This window comes from Homo sapiens, chromosome 12, assembly GCF_000001405.40.
Source record: "Homo sapiens chromosome 12, GRCh38.p14 Primary Assembly".
Taxonomy (NCBI): domain Eukaryota; kingdom Metazoa; phylum Chordata; class Mammalia; order Primates; family Hominidae; genus Homo; species Homo sapiens.
In genome coordinates this window covers 5,215,080-5,233,918 of record NC_000012.12, presented here as the reverse complement: position 1 = coordinate 5,233,918, position 18,839 = coordinate 5,215,080, and the positions used below count along the sequence as shown (strand labels likewise).

At 47.1% G+C, this 18,839-nt stretch overlaps 1 long non-coding RNA gene across 2 annotated transcripts in view, besides 3 other annotated features; it reads right to left on the bottom strand.

Annotated features, from left to right (window-relative positions):
- The window catches only part of LOC105369617 (uncharacterized), a 257,798-nt gene that overhangs the window by 145,826 nt on the left and 93,133 nt on the right, over positions 1–18,839 (bottom strand). The gene's annotated exons all lie outside the window — the stretch shown is intronic.
- Positions 250–750: an enhancer, noted in NCBI's record as "H3K4me1 hESC enhancer chr12:5342335-5342835 (GRCh37/hg19 assembly coordinates)". NCBI's record gives its function as "activates a minimal SCP1, AML or CMV promoter by ChIP-STARR-seq in naive H9 embryonic stem cells {active_cell/tissue: H9 hESC(naive)}" and the evidence as "EXISTENCE:reporter gene assay evidence [ECO:0000049][PMID:30033119]".
- Positions 751–1,251: an enhancer, noted in NCBI's record as "H3K4me1 hESC enhancer chr12:5341834-5342334 (GRCh37/hg19 assembly coordinates)". NCBI's record gives its function as "activates a minimal SCP1, AML or CMV promoter by ChIP-STARR-seq in naive H9 embryonic stem cells {active_cell/tissue: H9 hESC(naive)}" and the evidence as "EXISTENCE:reporter gene assay evidence [ECO:0000049][PMID:30033119]".
- Positions 11,290–12,110: an enhancer, noted in NCBI's record as "OCT4-NANOG-H3K4me1 hESC enhancer chr12:5330975-5331795 (GRCh37/hg19 assembly coordinates)". NCBI's record gives its function as "activates a minimal SCP1, AML or CMV promoter by ChIP-STARR-seq in naive and primed H9 embryonic stem cells {active_cell/tissue: H9 hESC(naive and primed)}" and the evidence as "EXISTENCE:reporter gene assay evidence [ECO:0000049][PMID:30033119]".

The following is an 18,839-nucleotide window of genomic DNA, read 5'->3' as shown; positions in this document are numbered from 1 at the left end:
TATTCCTTTAACTCTGTTTTCCTGGGGCCATATTTAACTGTGGGTGTTTTCTGTTTCAACTGGTGGCCTGTGGGAAAGAGGTAGTGCCTGGCAGGCTGGCCAAGGACACGGGGACTAAAGAACAATGTTGGAAGGAGATGGGGGCAGCGTGAGGGAGGAGGCGAAGACATATTGTGGGGGAGTCTTCACCCCAATTGAAGTCACCTAAAATCACTCCTTTGTAACTAGAAGACTAAGAAACACTTGTGAAAGCAGGTGAAAGCTGAAAGCACATCTGTGTGTGTGTCGGGGGTAAGTGTGAGGTGTGGCCGAGAGGCTCAGCTGAAGGAAGTCTCGTAGGCTGGTCCCCATATCTAAAGCAAACACACACACAAAACATTCTAGTGTGACTCCCTCTTCTGCAGGATATTCCTTCCCAGGGGCTCCGGACTGGAAAGGTCTTCTCTCAAGCCTAGGGAAAACAAGGAGTTTCTACTTTTTGCTCCTTGCCCCCAAACAGAGAGACAATGGCCTTGTGTATGCAATGGCACTTTTGTCAAGATGGAGCCGCACAGCTTCCATGAGGCTGAGGTGAGGAAAAGTGCATCTCTGCGAACGTGGCTCGGCTCCAGCTCCCTCCACTCGGTGCTCTGCCTGCCAATTAGCGCATCCGTCCTTCCCCACAGGTGGGGAAGTGGCCCGTACTGCTGTCTGGCTGCCTGGGGCCAGCACAGCCGGACTCTGACACCCCACCCAGGGATGCCCTGCAGGGATGGGGGACCCCTCAGGAGAAGAACACTTAGGTCCGGAACCAATTCTTCCTCCTCCTCCTTGCAAGAGGGAAGAGGGGGAAGACCAGGCTGGGGATGGCAGAGAAACTCGGGGGCTGGTTTAAGGGAAACAGACTGAGCTGCTTAGATCCTGCTGAGGCTGCCAGCAGCCCCAGATGGCTCCGAACCTGCTGCTCTTGCTGAAAATTGATTTTGGAGGCAGTGAGGGGAGGAGGAGGGATGGCAGGGGCTGCAGGGCAGGGGGCGGTGGTGGGAAGAGTTGCTGCATGGAGGGTGGAATTTATAAGCCTTGATAAAGACACTTAGTTGAAACTCTAGGGGCAGAGATAACACCCTTAGCAGAAAGGGCGGGGGTCTCTCAGGATTTCTGCTTCGATGTGCTCTTTCCTTCTCACCTTGTTCCTTTTTCCTCATTTGCCCTCCAGCCCCAATTATCAATCATGGAGGGTGCCCCTGGATGCTCCTTCTGGGCTGTGGGGTGGCATGGGCTGCGCAGGCCTGGATTTGAGAAGCACTCCGACCAAGGCACCTCCCTCACCCTCACCCAGGGAAGTGACTCAGGAGTTGAGGAAGACTGAGCTCTACACCCCTCACGATGCAGAGGCCTTGTATCCAACTCTATAGTCATAATTTTTATTTATTTTCCTTGGAGATAGTGCCAATATTTATGTAAGCATTAGTCCCCATGGCACCTGTATCTGCCTTTGTCTCATCCCAGTTATTCATTCATTCCCCAGACACTAATCAGGCACCCCTGAGGGCCAGGCACTGCACCAAGCACTGGGGAAAAAATGTCCATGACCAGATATCATCCTCTCTGAGCTCCTAGAACAGGAAGAAAAATTGCACAAGTTCAGCAAAAAGTCATCATATTTAGTCCACAAGAGCAGGAGAAACAAGGAAGGGTCAGAGAAGGGAGAGCTCACTCCCACAGAATCTTTATAAGGGAAAGTTGCAGAGCAAAGGCTATATTTGATTTCAGACTTGATGGATGGCAGGATGGGAGGGAAGCTGTGGATCTAGAAGGGTAGGCAGGGGGCCTCTGCAGGCAGAGGTGCCATAGAACCCTGGGGTGGAGCAGAGGGGAGGGAGGAGGTGCCTTCTGGTCTCAGTGGGAACAATGGGAGATATGATGGACAAGCCAGCCATCACACACCAAGCCTGGTATAGCCATGCCTGGCGTTTGCACTCCTGTCCCTAGACAACGAGACCTCACCAAGGCACCAGGCAGGGCTCACAGGAGGGGCTCGGACCCTGTTGGCAGAACAGTAAGCTGGAGGACAAGCACAAAGCTGTGGGAGAGTCCAGGGGAGCTGTATATGAGGAGCAAAACCTCGGTATTGTTGGTGGGAATAGAAACAACTTGATCTCCATAAAGGAGAGCCAAGGCAGGTAAGAGTTTCCTCCTCTTAGAAGCAAGGGAGGCTTGAAGACCAAGAGAACATGATAGGCTTCCCAACAATCTGACTAGGAAGGCTGGGTATTCAGCCTTCTCCTATGAATACATTTCCGGCTCCCAGTGGCTCCTCCAAACAGCCAAGAAGAGAGCTGTGCATGACCCTCAGCATCTATATTACCGAGGAGGAGATAGCTTCAGAGACCGAACCTACCAGGCCCACCCAGGTCAGTAGAGGTGGAGTCAGGAAGAGAACTTGGGTTCTAGACCCTGCTCTCCCCATTACAGATGTCCCTAGGAATCACACACAACACCAGGGCAGTTGTCAGCACTGAGATGGAAAGGTGACACCTGCATTCTCCAAAGACCCATTAGGCTATGTGCCCCATGGCAGCAAGGACCATCCCACCCTGTTTCTGCCTCTCCCAAAGCATTGGGAGCTCAACAGTCTGCCTTGCTGATATGGCTCTCCCTTTCTCTCATTTGATTCTTGCCTGGACAGGGACTCATCATTAAAAAGGAACAAAGAGGCCCTAACCCAACCTCAAAGAGAAGGAAAAGGACCTTTTTCTAAATGGAAGAATTCTTTTGTAAGAAACGAGGAAGAGTTAGAACAAGCATCTGCATAGCCTGGGAAGGGCCACTCTCTCCCAAGGCATGCTGCCGCTTGCCTCTGATGTCTGGACGCAAACAGCAGATCCTCAATCTGCTCCAGGGTGTTAGTGCCAACCCTGACCTAGTGAGCTTACTCCTTTCTCTTGGGCTTAGGCACATCTTGAAAGGGGAGATAGGGATGACTCTGTGCATCAGTCCCTCTGTCTGGTCCAGTGGACCTTGTCCTTATGATGGCCTGTGAAAAGATCTTAGTTTCTGAGCAGTTATGCAAGTTGCTCAAAGCCTTTGAGATGTCCCCCAGAAGCTGAGTGTAGAAGCAGTTCCACCACCCAGCCTGCATTATCTACACAAGACAATTAGGCAGGGCTCTGGGAACACTCTAAGGGCCAGGGATTAGGGAGAGAATCAACCTTGCAGCGCCACCGGTTTGGGGAGGTCATCACCACACTGCCCTGCCTCTATCTAAGGAGTGTCTGAGCCCTGGAAAAGCCGCACTCATGGCTGTCCTGTGGAATCCTGGAAAACACCATCCAAACAGGAGAAAAAGCCTGAAATGAGGGAGAGAGGTTTCCCTTCAGCCCTCTGAGGAAAGTAGAACACAGAAACCCTGGACTGAAGGGGCCCCCAAGTTGGCCTGTGCTATCCCCAACTGCTCCTCTCTGGATGCTTCCCACCCTTAGATTAAACCTTGCTTATTGACCCCATAGAGGCTTCATGTTCTCTCCCGGCTCCTCCCAAATTGCCCACTGGAATGTACGTGATGAGGTCATTTGTAGTAAGCTACAACTTTTGTGGTTACCCCTGGCAGGGCTATTTATACCATGATAGGAAATAAAGTCTGTGTAGAACACACTAGTGCTGGTGATCTCTTTGGGGAAACAGGGGTCAAGGAGGTTGCTCCAAGAGCATGACAGAGTGGGAAGAGGACAGATGTGAGAGTGAGAGGCTTTGGTTATCAACTGGCTCTGCAGTTAACTTGTTGGCTGGCCTGAGAAAATCTCCTAAATGCTTGGGCCTCCATTTCCTCCTTTGTGAAATAACGTTAAAGTCCCAACTTCCCAACATGGTTCAGGATGAAAATACGCAAAGTGCATTAAGCATTGTTATAGACAGACTGTTTATGTTCTACCCCATTCATATGTTAAATCCTAATGCTCAGTGTGATGGTATTTGGAGGTAAGACCTTCAGTGAAGCCGTCCTAACAGGGTTAACAAGAATTCTGGACAGGGCTGGGCACGGTGGCTCATGCCTGTAATCCCAACACTTTGGAAGGCCAAGACAGGCGAATCGCTTGAGTCCAGGAGCTTGAGACCAGCCTGGACAACATGGCAAAATTGCATCTCTACATATGAAACAAACCTGCATGTTGTGCACATGTACCCTAGAACTTAAAGTATAATAAAATAATAATAAAAAAAACCCACAAAAATTGGTCAGAAATGGTGGTGCATGCCTGTAGGTCTCAGCTAATTGGGAGGCTGAGACGAGAGCTGGAGGCGGAGGTTGCAGTGAGCTGTAATGGTGCCACTGCACTCCAGCCTGGGTGACAGAGAGAGATCCCATCTCAAAAAGAAAAAAAAGATTCTGGACAGAAATATAATTAAGCATTAATCAGGCTGCCCTTTGACCCACTTCCTTGTGATAGAAAGTCACATAGCACTAGATACTGACCATTTGCATTCCCATTGTTTCTGTAGATAGGATTTCTGATATTAGAATCACAGGGCTTTTAAGAATTTCTGACATTAGAATCACAAGGCTTTTAAGAATTGCAAGTAGATCCTGAATTCCAGCAGAACGGGTGATGCCATCCAATGTGAAGACCTCCACAGAATGAAATCAGCGTGAGACTACAGTTTCTTCATCTCCCTCTTCCATGATTTCACCCTCTGTACTTTGACCAATTGATATGGTTTGGCTGTGTCCCCACCCAAATCTCATCTTGAATTCCCACATATTGTGGGAGGGACTCTGTGGGAGGTAATTGAATCATTGAATCACAGGGGCAGGTCTTTCTCATGCTGTTCTCGTGATAGTGAGTAAGTTTCAAGAGATCTGATGGTTATTATAAGGGGGAGTATTCCTGCACAAGCTCTCTTTGTTTGCTGCCATCCATGTAAGACATGACTTGCTCCTCCTTGTCTTCCTCCATGATTGTGAGGCTTCCTCAGCCACATGGAACTCCAATTAAACCTCTTTCTTTTGCATATTGCCCAGTCTCAGGTATGTCTTTATCAGCAGTGTGAAAACAGACTAATACACCCATCAACTGTCTTTGTACTTTGGCCCACTCCAAAATCCTTAAAATCCTAGCTCTAAATTCCTTGGGAGAAAGATTTGAGGTCTTCTCCCATCTCTTCATCCCTCCCTGTGATTAAACCTCTTTCTCTGCTGCAACCTAGTGTCTTGGTTTGTTGACTTGCCATGCACATCAGGCAACAGACCCATTACGATTGCATTCGGAGTTGATTAGGACATGAGGGGAATCCTCATGATGAGATTAGTGCCCTCATCAAAGAGGCCCCAGAGAGCTCCGTTGCCCCTTCTGCCACGTGAGGACAGTGAGAAGACAGCCTTTTAGGAACTAGGAAACAGGCCCTTACCAGACACCAAATCTGCCGGTACCTCGATCAGGGACTTCCCAGTTTCCAGAACTGTAAGAAATAGATGTCTTTTGTTTATAAGGTATTCAATCTACAGTATTTTGTTACAGCAGCCCAAGCTGACCAAGACAAGCACATAGCCCACCACTGTGTCTGGGAAGTCAGAATTACAAATGGATCTATGTGCTCATTCCTTCCTTCATTCCTTTACTCAACTGCTCACAAAATCGCTCCTGAGGCCCCTTTTTCATCCACTTGTAGGCCATCCTTGAATCAAAGCCCCAGGCCTTTGCATGCATAAAACTCCATGTCTTGAGTCAGCACTTCGCACCCATCTCTTTAGGAAAGCAGAAAGGCCAGCCGTCAGAGACAGAGTTTTCCAGAGGACTGACTGGAAGGGGTGGGGGCCTGAAAGGAGAGAGTCTTAAGCACCAGCTTAATCTCATTTAGGTCTTGTCTCTGGGCGGCTGAGGAGGCTGTTTTTAGCTTCTTCCAAATGAGCTTCCTGCTAAGTTTCCCCTGAGACCTGGCACTGGCTCTACTCACACTTCCAGCTTGGGGAAGACAAAGATCCAGGAAGGGCTGGGCAGCAGGTGCCCTGGAACCCCCGGAAGGCTGTGGCAGAGGGTGAGGCCAGGGTAGCATTGTGGGGAAAGGAAGGAGACTGGGCTGGGTCTGGCTTGAATCCCAGCTTTGACACTCGCCCAGCCCTGGGTGGCCTTGAGAAGACTTACTGGGCCTCTTTGGTTTTCTCATTTTAAAATATCAATCACAGCATGCCTAAAGTGCCTGATACGATGATATGTAGTTATTGTTATTATCATTGTGGTTATTGCTATTACCATTAGAAGGCTGTAGGAAGTCAAAGGGCCTTGCAAGAGGTCTCACACAGAGAAGTTGGGGGTTGCCTGCAAGGTGTTCTCAGTGGGGCTAGCAAGGCTCTAGCACCTCTTTGATATTTCTTTTAATGCATGGCTGGAATTTCTCCTTAAGCTTCAACTTTCAGATTCAGGCTTTGGCCGTCTTAGGGGAGCACATGACGACACTCCTTGATCCTTTGTAAGATGACAGTGCACTAGGAGAGCAAGGCCCTCCTGCCGCGTGGATATAGAAGCCAGAGCCTGGGGAAGAGCCTTTGGGAACCATCAAAGAGAGTGGGAAAATAAGGGTGACGAATAGTCAAAACCACATTTCTCGAATGTCTTAGCTAGTCCTTGGCCCCAACGATTGCTCAAATGATTGTTCTTCTACAAAGCAGAAAGGCACTAAAAAGAACCCTCCCATCCCCCAGACATATGTTTCTTGAAAAGAGAAGCAAGAGGCATCAAAGGATGGAAGCCAAAGAAACTCCATTTGCTACTGTGTTCGTAACTTATGTCTAAAATTGATTTTTGTGGTCTGAGGCAGGTGGAAATTTTCATAGCAATTCTGCTCCATTCCCTGTTTCTGAGCACTTCGAGATTCACTTTCATTCATTTTCTCATTTGATTGCAATTCCAGATCTCACTGATATAAAGTGGATGAAAGGGAGTGCAAATACAGGTTCCTTTTTCTCCAAATTCCATACTCTCTACCAGTGCTCTGGGACTGGTGAAGAATTCTGGGCCACTATCTCTGCAGTGTTACACAAGCAAGTGGCAGGAGAGGTGCCTCCACAATGCAGCGCGCAGCTCCTCCTGGGCGTCATTAGCATGCAGCCTACGTTCTTCAAGATGGCGCCCAGTTCAGCCTGTCAGCGAGTGATCTATGATGTGTCACTTGTGCTATTAACAGGCGTTTTCAATTTCAGCAGCCTCAGCACATTTAGTTCCTCTCCCATGTGATCACTGCTCTGTCCTCCATTAATAACCACTTTCAAACCCTTCTAGCACCCACCTGGGCAGTTCCCTCTCATGCCTTCCTCACAGGGTAGGGCTGGACTCTTTGCCCATGGGAGATGATTGGGAATAATCTCTGTCCTGTGGGGTGAGCTGAACAAGGGGCAACTGCTCTACACATGTGGACCATCAATATATCTCTATTAATGAGTGAATTAATTAAAGACAGACACAAAAAATGACTTTCTCGTTGGTGGAGATTGTCTGTTGCTGAGAAAGGTGATGTCAGCTCTCTGGATGAGGCTGAGGAAGGAGAAAAGGATGAAGATGGAACAAGCCCTGCCTTGTCAATGCTTATGCTTAGAAAGACTGGGGAGACTTGCATGACTATGCAGTGAAGGGTCCCCAAAGGGGGCTTAATCTGCCGACCCATGAAGGATATCAAGCATGACTGGGCCTGTTGTAACATTTCAGAGAATGTCAGCCAATAATAATAAAATCTTCTTCATTCTACATGCTCTTGCCAGTTTAAACACTTTTTATCTGAGTTATTCCCTGTTCAATAATCACTAGTTGTTAGGAGGGGAAGACCTAAGCCCTCTCAGAGTTTCTATCTTACCATCCAACTTCCACTAGCTTTCCCAGTCCACTAGTGGTAGGGTATGGGAATCCAGGAAAAATGGATCAGTAAACAAAACTATTCTTGCTTAATAAAATCCTAGGTGTCTCCCAAATGGACTTCCAAATCACAGTCAGATTCAGAGCTCACCTTGGCATTCAAAGCCCTCTGCAATCCAATCTTATCATATGTATCCAACCTTAGTTCTCTACCTTCCCTCATGTAGAAGGGTGATGGGAAGAGGATGTCTCCACGCCTTCCCTCAAGCCATTTCCTATGTCTAGAATCCCTTCCTTTCCTCTCACTTCTCTTAAAGCCAACCAGAAGTCAGTCCACTTTCTCTGGGAGCCTTCTCCACTATCCTAGCTTACATTCTTCCTTTTAAAAAGTCCCTGTAGCATGGATGCCATGTTGTCCTGAGCCAAAGCGGCCATATTGTCCCTCTCCTTATGTTCCATATTTTGCCTAGTATGATGCTCAACACTGAGGAGAAACTTGATTATGCTAAGACCCAACACAATGGGCATGGCTAACTGGAAAACCTCACAGATTCTGTATTGGTGGCCTAGGAGAGACGAAGATAAGGTGGGGAGAAAGGAAACTAAAGGGAGAGAGTAGAAATGGGGCCCAAAATATGCACTTCGGTGCTTCCTGTACTTTCAGTTAAGAAGCAGTGACTGAGAACAGCTTGGTACACTCCAGAAGCCCTCAGTGGTGCAGGGATGGTGTCCCCAATGGGGATCTTCAGGGGAGAGCTCAGTCATCTCAGTTACCTCATAGAAGTTATCAGTGCCATCCTGTTTGATCTTCCTTTGAAACCACCAGCTATTTTCCTTGCAAACCAAAAAAAAGAGAGATGTATCTATGGACCAGGAGGAAAATAGCAAAGCCAGTTTGGAACCAACTTTGGCCAAGGAAATGGTGCAATCTAGTTGTAATGCGATTAAGTCAAAATTAATTCCAAAAGGAGATGTAATTATGACAGCAACTTCTTTGGGGGCAGGCTGGGATTTATTCTCTTTTGGAGAGCCAAGACCGGATTTAGCTTTTCATGAGCCTGGGGCAGCAAAGATATGGGGCAGCTTATAACATTTTTCTTTCACAGAGAGAAACAAAATTTAAGCAAAGAAGAAAATTCAGGATCAGCAAATGAAAGAACAGTGCTTACAGGGTAGCTAGGGGTAAATGGGATGTGGGCCCCAGTGATTTGGAGGCAAGGAATAAACAAAAGAGTGTGAAGACCCCTCTCACCAAGGAAGACCTCTGGTAAATTCGTAGTTCTGAGAACAGATGGAATGACATCATGCTTGCGGCTCGTGTGTGGGAGGCCTGCAGGAACATACCATTGACCTATGTGACATTACATTGATACATCCAAATCATGCTGAAGGCTGCAATTCCCAAAAAAATGAGCTTCCAATATTGATCCTCATTATGAGCTTTGTTCCAGGCCAAGAACTTAACGTTCCATAAGTGAGATCATCCTCATAACAATTCATTGAGATAGGAATTATATCCATTTTACAGATGAAGAAATGGAGGACCAGAGAAGCCAAGCTTATCTAAGAGCGCCCAGCTTGTAAGAGGCAACACCAGAATTGAAACTCGGGCCTTTCTAACTCCAAAGCCCATTCTCCTGCTTCCTGATCCAATATTTGGGGCTACATGGAGACAGGCTCAAAGCTCTTAGTGTTCTTGCATTCCATGTGTACCTTCATCCCAGTGTGCATTAGGCCTTGCTACAATTATTTGTTTGCTTGTCCCTCTTCCCTGCCAGACAATGAGCATTCTGAAGTCACTGCATCCTTGGCACTTAGCAAAGTGATTGCTGTTTTAGGTCAGGTTCTGCAGAAGCAAACCCTGACAGGAGTATCCATGTACTAATGACTTAAGGAAGTGCTCCCAGGAGATACTGTTAAGAGAGTACGTCAAGCAAGACAGAAGAGGACAGAAAGCCAAGCAAGGGTGTGATTTCAGGGGAAGCCCTAGCTTCATTGGAATGCTGTAAAAATCTCTGTAGCATAAATTATAATTCAGAATTTGTGTTCCCTGGAGGCAAGGGAGCGGCGGCCACCCTAGGAGGAGGATGTGGGAGACAGTTGTAAACTTCTAGCTCTTTCCAACTCTTGCCAGGAGCCCAAGGAGGGGTCTCTGAGGAAGGGCACAGGTGCAAACCATTAGTAGCAAATCACCCAGAAGCTGGGAGTGTGTACACAGACAAGAAATGTCAGCTACAATAAGCTTCCAAATCTGTATTGGAAGCCCCCTGTTAAGCACTGCTGAATTTGTCACATACATCCAGCCATGGTTTCTGTTTTCTAAAGCTGCCCCTCCACCAATGTTGGCATTTCCCAATTATTTCCATTTCCCTGATCCCCTCCATTCAAGTCCCCTAGATGTTTTAGAAGCCTTTATTTATATCCCAGTTGCCATTGTAAAACATGGTCAAGGGAAGGAAATTTGACCAGATGGAAGTGTCCTTCTTTGACCAGGACAATCCAGGCAGAAGCATCCTTCATGCCCTTGTGAGGGTGGCAAAGAGCCTCACCGTAGTGTGGCACAGAAGACAGACATGCTGCTGAGAAGACTCCAGTTCAAAATCCAGCTCTATGAGTGTTTATAAAACTTCTCCAAATACCAGTGTTCTCCTTTCTAAATGGGTGCCATAATAACGGACACCAGAAGCAACGATTTGTGTGCAGGTAATATATTTTGGGGAGTAATCCCAAGTAGCAGAAATGGGGTCTTGGGGATAGTGAAACAGGAAAGGAGGGTACACCAGAACAAGGGCATGTTATCAAGCCAGGGGGCATGGCTATGAACAAGGAGGACTCCTTTCTGCTAGGACCTTTGGAGGAGCCACAAAGCATTCACTTCAAAGTTGCCCACTGGGGACTTTGTTCCACTTTTGTTCCACCTGGGGAACAAAAGAGGGGGGCATTTGTCTGCCAGCTCTCTTCTCCACTGGGCTCCATCTTGAAGGACACTCATGTAATGGAGCTGGTGAGCTTTGGGGCAGGAACCATGTCACACGGCAGCTGAATAAAGGCCCATCAGTTATATCTCCAGGAAGCTGGTTGCCACAGCAGTGGCTGGTGCATAATGCAGGTCTGGGGGCCACATGGCAGGGCACAGGCAGTGTCCAGTGCCACACACTGCAGTTTAGTTGTGACACGTGGCAGCGCATAGGCAGTGTCCAGTGCCACACACGGTAGCTTAATTGTGAGTGTGGGCATGGTTGAGGCCCCCCATGGATGTCCAGAGCCCACTGTTGAAGGGAAAGAGGAGGAAGAGCTTGGCACCGGGATGCTCCATTGAGTTGGAAGAGGCAAAAGGGGACAGCCAACTGAGGAAAGGGCCAGATCTTTGGGTTGTAGAAAGATGATTTGATAACTCAGCCCCTAACTGACTGTTCAGATGCCTAAGTGTCCTTTAGAAATCCATGGATGACATGCCCAACTGAATATCCAGCCTGAGAAACAGCCTCATCCTTCATACCAAGGGCAAGCAGGCTGTTTTCTCTCCCATCTATGGATCTCATTGTTCTAATGATGACACGAATAGGCCAGGAACAGGGGTAGCAGCCTGTGGAGGAGGTAAGAAAGGTCCATATCCTCAGGCAACCTCAACAAGGCTGGTTCAGTTTTCCAAAATAGGAGGAGCTGGGAGCCAGGGCAGGGAAGTGGCTCTGCTGAACAGGGTATGCATTGACAGAGGTTGGAAAAGACAAGAACAAAAGACAGGGGAGGGGGTCTCCTCGGCTGGCAGAAAGGACACTAAAGCCAGGTCTCCTGGGGCAGTGTGTGGGGGTGGGGATTACAAACCCTCTGACAGAGAGCCAATCTGCCCCTTTGCCTAACAGCTTTACCTCCCAGCAGGGGCCCAGCAACCCTGCAGAGACTGTACTCCCTTTTTCCTGGCATCATTAGCCTACATCAATTGACTTCTTCCTCTAAGACTAGGATTGGGAAACTCCCTGAACAAAGACACTTGTGCAGCATCTCAGGTTCTGCCAGTTACAGTTGGCCCCCCTGGTGCTTTATCCACTCCCTTCCCCAGCCCTCTCCCCACACGCAGCCACTCTGAGCAACAGCTTTGATTCTACCTCCTCCCTATGCTTCCAAGACTAGTCATCACCTCTTGTGGCTTCTTTCCTTAAAGTGTCTCTTGCATTTTATCTGCCTTCTCAGGCCTTGAGATAGAGAGAAAGAACATAGTGTGTGTGTGTGTGTGTGTGTGTGTGTGTGTGTGTGTGTCTGTAGGATCTCTGCTCAAATACCAGCCTTTCCACCCACTGGTCCTGTGAGGCTGAATGTTTCTTTCTTGTCTTTCTTCCTCTTGCACCTTCCCTTCCAGCCTTTTGCCCTCTACCACCTAGAATGCATGACCACAAACTCAGTGTCCACCAGCCAGAGGGAGCTGTGTGTATGCTTCTGCCCGGCTCCCCAGATGCTCCCACGCTGGCTAGATGCTCACAGTCACCTACCATAGCCAACCTAGGGTTGGTTTCCACCCCCAACAGACTCCATCCAAAGTTCTGGTCCTAAACCAAAATCTGACCAAAAATAAAACTGTGCGTTTTTACAGTTCTCGACTCAGATGCCTGACCTGTCTGCAGCCTGTTGATGAATGAGGCCGGTGGGATAACATGGACACTTTAGTACAGACTTACATAGCACAGACTTACATAGGAATGAGTGGATGCCAAGGAGGTTAGAGCTGTTAGCATTGTGAGCAACAGGATTTAAGGGGGTGGGCAGAGCCAGGGAAGGAGAACTATGGCAATGGGTCTGTGTTCTGGAGTATGGTATTCATAGCAAACTGGAGGCATAGTAGGGCTAGTAGATCAGGAGATGATTGCCATTGAAGCAAGATTTTGTTACTCACAGTTCCAAGAGGCAGAGGCAGAGGAGGGGAAGGAACTGTGAACAAGGGCCTTTATTGTGGTTTCTGTGGGAAAGAATGCACAGGGTAAGCAGACTTAGGATTGTATAGTTTGAATAACTTCAGCAAGTCCTCAGGCATAGGGGCTGTCCCTAGGTGACTTATGCCAGGCCCTGAGATGATTAAGGCAGGCGGATAGTGGCTCAGGGTGTATAAGGCTGATAAAAGAGGTGGTTGGGTGTGGGCTCTGGATTGGCTGGTTTGCATTTGGTTTGCATTCTCAGGCAAGTTGTTTACTATCTCTAGGAATCGGCTAACCCTGAGAGGGGCAGTCTCTCCAGGGTTAGCAAGGCCGCAGTTGTCAATGCATCAGAATACAAAAGATAAAAGATGCAGTTAATACAGCAAAGGTAGTAAAGAAAGAAAGGAGGCCACTGCTGGAAAGCACTTGCAGCTAGCCTATTTGTACCGAGTAGAATATGGTTCTGTCTCAAGGAAGGAGTACGTTAGCTAACATATCTCCTCAGGGTTCACCACTACGGGGAAAAGACACACCCACCATGAAGGTAGGCTCAGTGGAAGCCTTTGCAATTCACCCCAGCTCGTGAGAGTAAGGCATAATGTCTCTTAATAATACTTAGTACTGATTAATCCCCTTGATCCCAACAAAGAATTCTAGTTTTCAGGAAAATTCTAACTTGGACTGTGAATGATGAATATGTGAATAGTGGTTCTTTGTTAGCCTAAACTAGATTTTAAATATAACATTGAGAAGCCTTGGGAGCAAGTATTAGTACTAATAGTACAATGGGAATAAATTCCTTTTTTCAAAATAACAAATGTGTGTCACTAGTGTATGCCCCTCCCAACTTCTAAGCAGGCTGCCCACTGATAAGAACTAAGTGAGTGCCAGATGCCTCCACTTGATCCCTGTCTCCTGCCATGCCCGGCACACTGGAATCACAAGGAAGGAGGCAGACAGGGCATCACACGGAACAATACAAGACATGCAGTGCAAACATGCTGAGCTATGTGTAGGCATCACATTTAAACACTAAATAGAAATAAGATTTATGAAGTGCTACAGGGCGGTCTTGTTCACATAGATTAATGCATGTGATTGATTCATTAGCCTGTTCTCTGAATGTGCAGAGGATATATGAATGTCTGGCATTTAGGAAAGTTGTACCTTTGCAATTTTCTTGAATCTCTACTTCTTAGTGGGAGTAGAAGCCTCCTTATTTCTTCTCCGTGGCTAGGTAGGTAACTTGGATGGCTGGCTCAAGTGGAGAATCAATAAATACAGAACACAACTATGATAAATATTTTATTCTAACTCAAAACATAAATGTGTATTTCTTGTAAAACTTTATATGTAGGGCCAAGGCCACAGGCCTGGAAATATGGATCTGAAGATGAGTATTCCAATCTCTCTTGCTTTTTGCATAAACCATACTCTTAATGCATCCTTGACAGTTTCCACTTTCAGTTTCTTTAAAGTAGAGCAAGAACTTACATGGCTGAAGAATCTCAATCCAGAAACTTTGATTTTTATTACTTTTATTTCCGTCCCACATCTAAGTGACTATAACTCTTTGTAGTAATTCACCTTTACTGAGACATTCCAGAGCATTAAACGTGGCTTTTACAAAACTGATTCTCTTTAAACATGTATTTGATGTAAGTAGTTTTAAATATAATTAAATTAAACTTGAAAACAAGCACAAACACATAAACATGCATGATAGCAAACACAACTGGCTCTTGGTAGACATATCTCCTAGGTGGAGGCAGCAAGTGTATGCAGGGGTCGAAGAAGCAGCCCACCCTCCAGGCTGGAGCACACAGTGGACATGGCAGCCCTCACCAAGCATTAGGAGGGGACTGTGCTTCAAGTGGAGATTGGCTAACAGACCTTCCACTGTATTTCCTGATCCCATCCTCTTTTTTCATTTTCATGGTAACAGTAATTTATCCAGGTATAATTACATATTTTTAAATGTGCAAATTTGAAGTACCCATCTCAATGCACTTGTGTAACTACCACCCAGACCAAAATAAAGAACTTTCCATCACTCCAGAAAGTTTCCTCCTGCCACCTCCCAGACAATCCCTGTCCCTCAAAGACAACCACTATTCCGATTTCTGTCACCGTGTATTAGTTTTGTCTGTTCTTAAACTTCATATAAAAGAAATCATATCATCTGTACTTTGTGTGTCTGGTTCCTGTTCTTTAATATAATGTTTCTGAGATTAACTCATATTCGTTGCCTGTATCAGTAGTTTTTTAAAAAATTGATTCTTATCCTTTTAAATGAGTTCACTGATGCTCTCTGAAGTTGAGAAGGAGACAGAGTGTAAGAAGATTCTCTTTTCCTACAGTCTTTCTAGCCATTATTCAAGCTTTGCAGACTTCACTAGAACTTTCAGCAGGAATGTGTTAACCCAAAGGCCCAACAGATCCTCTCCTTCAACAGCTAGTGCACTGATAGACCAAAAATCTATCAGTCACATTATCTGGATGGTTGAGTATTCACAGACTTATTTATCTATGCTGCTCTTTTCCCCCATCCCGCTCCCACAAGCATGGAAGAGCAGCAGTTTTGGAAAACTATCTTAGGCCCAGCCATCACAAGACTGCTAATTCATTTTGGCTTGCTCAGAAGTCATCAGCCCATCCCCAGTACCCACCAGTAATACTATCAAGGGAACTTAGTCATCAACATTTACACATCCTACCTGAAGAAGCCTACTAGGTTGGGTTTGCCTATGTTGCTAAATGAGTCATTCATGGGTAGAGGACCCAGTGTTGTTTAACATAGAGTTTATTTTGTAAACATCTTGTGAGGTTAGAATTCAATAAGCCCACTTTGGGGTATGCTGAAACTACGAAAGGATAGCAGCCTTGTTTCTCTCCTGAGTTCAGTGCTTTTGAGAATTTCATCTCATCTGCATCAGGAGGTATTGGCGGCTCAAAGCCAAGTCCATTTGGCAACTCTTGCGACTGCCCAGCATGCCTGACAGGGCCAGGGGTTGTGGAAAGGTGCGAGGAGAAAAGGGGGGGTGGAGCTGAGATCGCTCATGCTGGGTAGTTGGCAAAGACACACTTCCAAGGCTGGACAGCACTCCTAGATCAGCAGAGACGATGAGCAAGGCAGGGGACAAAGTCTGCCTTTTGCCAGGACTGGTCCACATTTCATCATTTGGTTTGGTTGGTACCAGTTGTCCAAAAATCATGAGCCTGGTGTCTGGCAGGAGACCCTTGATGAGCAAAGATAAAAGTTGCCGCGAGATTTTGGCCATATGCCTTAGCTTCTTGTGGACAGTTCTAGAGAAAATGAACAAGAAAGGCCGAGGAAGGGTAAAAGGAACATTGGGAAGGAATCTCTCTACTCTTTTGCCTGCTTATCTGGACACTTCTCTCTCTCTCACTTCCCTAAAGAAATGAGAGATTTGTCTGCTCCCATGCAGACAGGAAAACTGGATTTTATGCTTAAGAATCTGCTGACTGAGCTCAAGCAACAAGATGATAATCTCTTGATTCGCGGTCCTGTGAATACTCCAAACACTTGCCATCATTCTCAGTTTGGTTCTACTTCTTTCAGTGGAGATCTGAGCTCTAGTAGATGGAGGTCAGGCTAGAGAGCTGGGACTCCTGTGTCTGAGTCTCAGGTGACACATTTTGTGGCATCAACAAGGCACTCAAGGTTCTCAAAGGACCTGTCCTCCCCAACCACAGAGGGGGACTTTCCAAGGTGTGTTAGAGAAGTCTTTTGCAAACTGTTTAGAAATCTGGGTAAGATTATAAAGATACAAAGAGAGCAGTCCCTAATAGCCAAACTTATAGCATATTCTTGAATTTATAATCCAAGGTGAAAATCCAAATGTCCTAACAAGGTCTGAGAGCCTCGAGGGTGCCATGAACAGGCTGGGGAACCAGAGTGACACGATGGGGTCTCTCCAAGAGACTATATGTGGGAGGAGGGCCTGATTGTGCCACTTAGTCTGCCCAGCTGTCAGGTGTGGGGATAGGCAGCAGGAGGACTGTCCCCTCTCAATGACTAGCACTCATTGCTTACATGAAGCCAGCTGGTCAACCCCATCAATGTGGGAAGAACTGGAGGGCAGTGGGGAGGATCAGAGGAACCTGATTCTGGTCAAAGATGCCTTTAGACTTCTGCTTAGGTTCACATGAAGAACAGGACCTGGACTGAGTTCAAAATGACCTTCAGGTCTAGGAGATTTGCAATGAGAAATGTTCTCTCCACTTCAGCGAGGTGGGAGCAAAGGAAGCCAACTGGATGGTCCAGGAAAGACTACAGGCCTGGTCTAGGGGAGAGCTTTGAATATTGTGGCTGGTGTGATGATCTCGCCTTCTATTCAGCCAAATGGAGTGAAAGTCTCATCCATGTTTAGGGACCCCACTTTGAAAGAGAAGCACTCTGATGTTCCTTCTTTTATCCTGGAACACATGCTCAACATCTCTGCTCACAGATTCCACCCTGAGCCAGCAGCCCTGAGAACACAGCCCTCTCCACATGGCCCTAAGCCTGGACCTCCCTGCTACCACCTCTTTGTTTTCCCATCATTGAGCTTCTCCCTCACACCCCATCCCCTGGATCCCACCCGCACCATGCACTGCTCATGGCATACATATCGTTCTGCTCAATCCTTAAGTGAAGAGCCACTCTTCTAAGAAGACTTCCTGGGTTGATGCTACCCTAAAGGGATGTAAAATATAGAAACATCTCACCCTTGTTCCAAGAGCCTGACACTCCCGTTTCTTTGACTCTGCATTTCTGCCTCTTTTGCAGACACCTGGCTTGGCATGTGTTTCTGATATATGGCTCTGGAGATACACAGCACAACCATGGAGGACAGTGGTCGCTATCATGGGGCTCCAGGCCAGTTGGTTGTATCACTCCTATGACCCCTTCCTGGTTGGGAAATACCTGGGGATGAAGAAATTTTATGACACTTTAACTGAGAAATAACTATTCTCTGCTGGGTTCCAGACCTGGCCTGGAGACCAGTGACTCAGAAGCTGTTTTCCCCTCTGTGGCTTCCAGAGAATCTCTGAGGACTCGGGCAATTGTCCACATGCTGAGCTTTCTGTCCACCCCAGTCAAGGCCACGTGGACCTGGTGGGCCATGTCCCTGGGCAGGCTAATCACAGGTGCCCTTCACAAAACTGCTCTTCGTGTGTTCACCCTGCTCTCCAAGGAGTAGCTGTGTGCTGTGAAGGGAATAGCAGAGAATGAAGTACCCCAGTGGCACGTCTGCCCTCCTCTTGAGCCCTGAGCTATCCTGTTCCAGCCCCAAACTTGCTGCCCAGTCAGCCAAGCCAGAGCTTTGCAAGATGGGGGGCAGAGTCTGTGGCAGATCTGGTCCACTCCACACTGCTTGTGTTGGTTGGTACTAATTGCCCCAGAATCATTAATGAGGCTGGTGTCTGGCAAGAGACACTTGATGAGCAAAGGTGCAGTTTGCCCTGAGATTTTGGTTATGTTCCTTGGCTTCTTGTTGAAAGTTTTAGGGAGGATGAGCAAGAAGGCTGAGAAAGAACAAAGTAAACAAACATTGGGAACTGGATAAACCCTCCCTAGGAAGCGATTATTGCTGGAGCACGTTTCCCTGGGGTTCTAACCCTTACCCCCAGAGCTCAGAAAATTATTCCTTGCAGTGTAAAGTACTTTATACATATGATTTTCTTCATCTGATTTTACTTCCAGGCCATGTTTAGCATTCATACATTGATATCCGGGAGTTGCCAGCTTCCTCAACCCACACCCTACCCTTCATGGAGCACTTCTGGCACTATTCCTCCTCCAGAGAAATACTACAGCAAACATAGCGAGTGATGACTGGCACCTCGTTCTGGGGATGAGCAGGCTGTCCATGTAAACTGTTTTCTTCTAGGTTGAGGTTGTCCAGAGGAGATGAAAGAGGGTCGTGAGGGTCATGTTGAACCAAAAAGTTAAGGCGCTGCAGAAAATGGACTGTGTGATGTTTGGGGGTGGGGGAGCAGTCTCTGCTGAGGAGGAGGAATAAACAAGAAGAAAGGTGGGAAAGAGCAGTTCGGCTTCCTTCAGCCCTTGGCAAACTCCCCCAAAGTGCTAAACATGACTAAACCA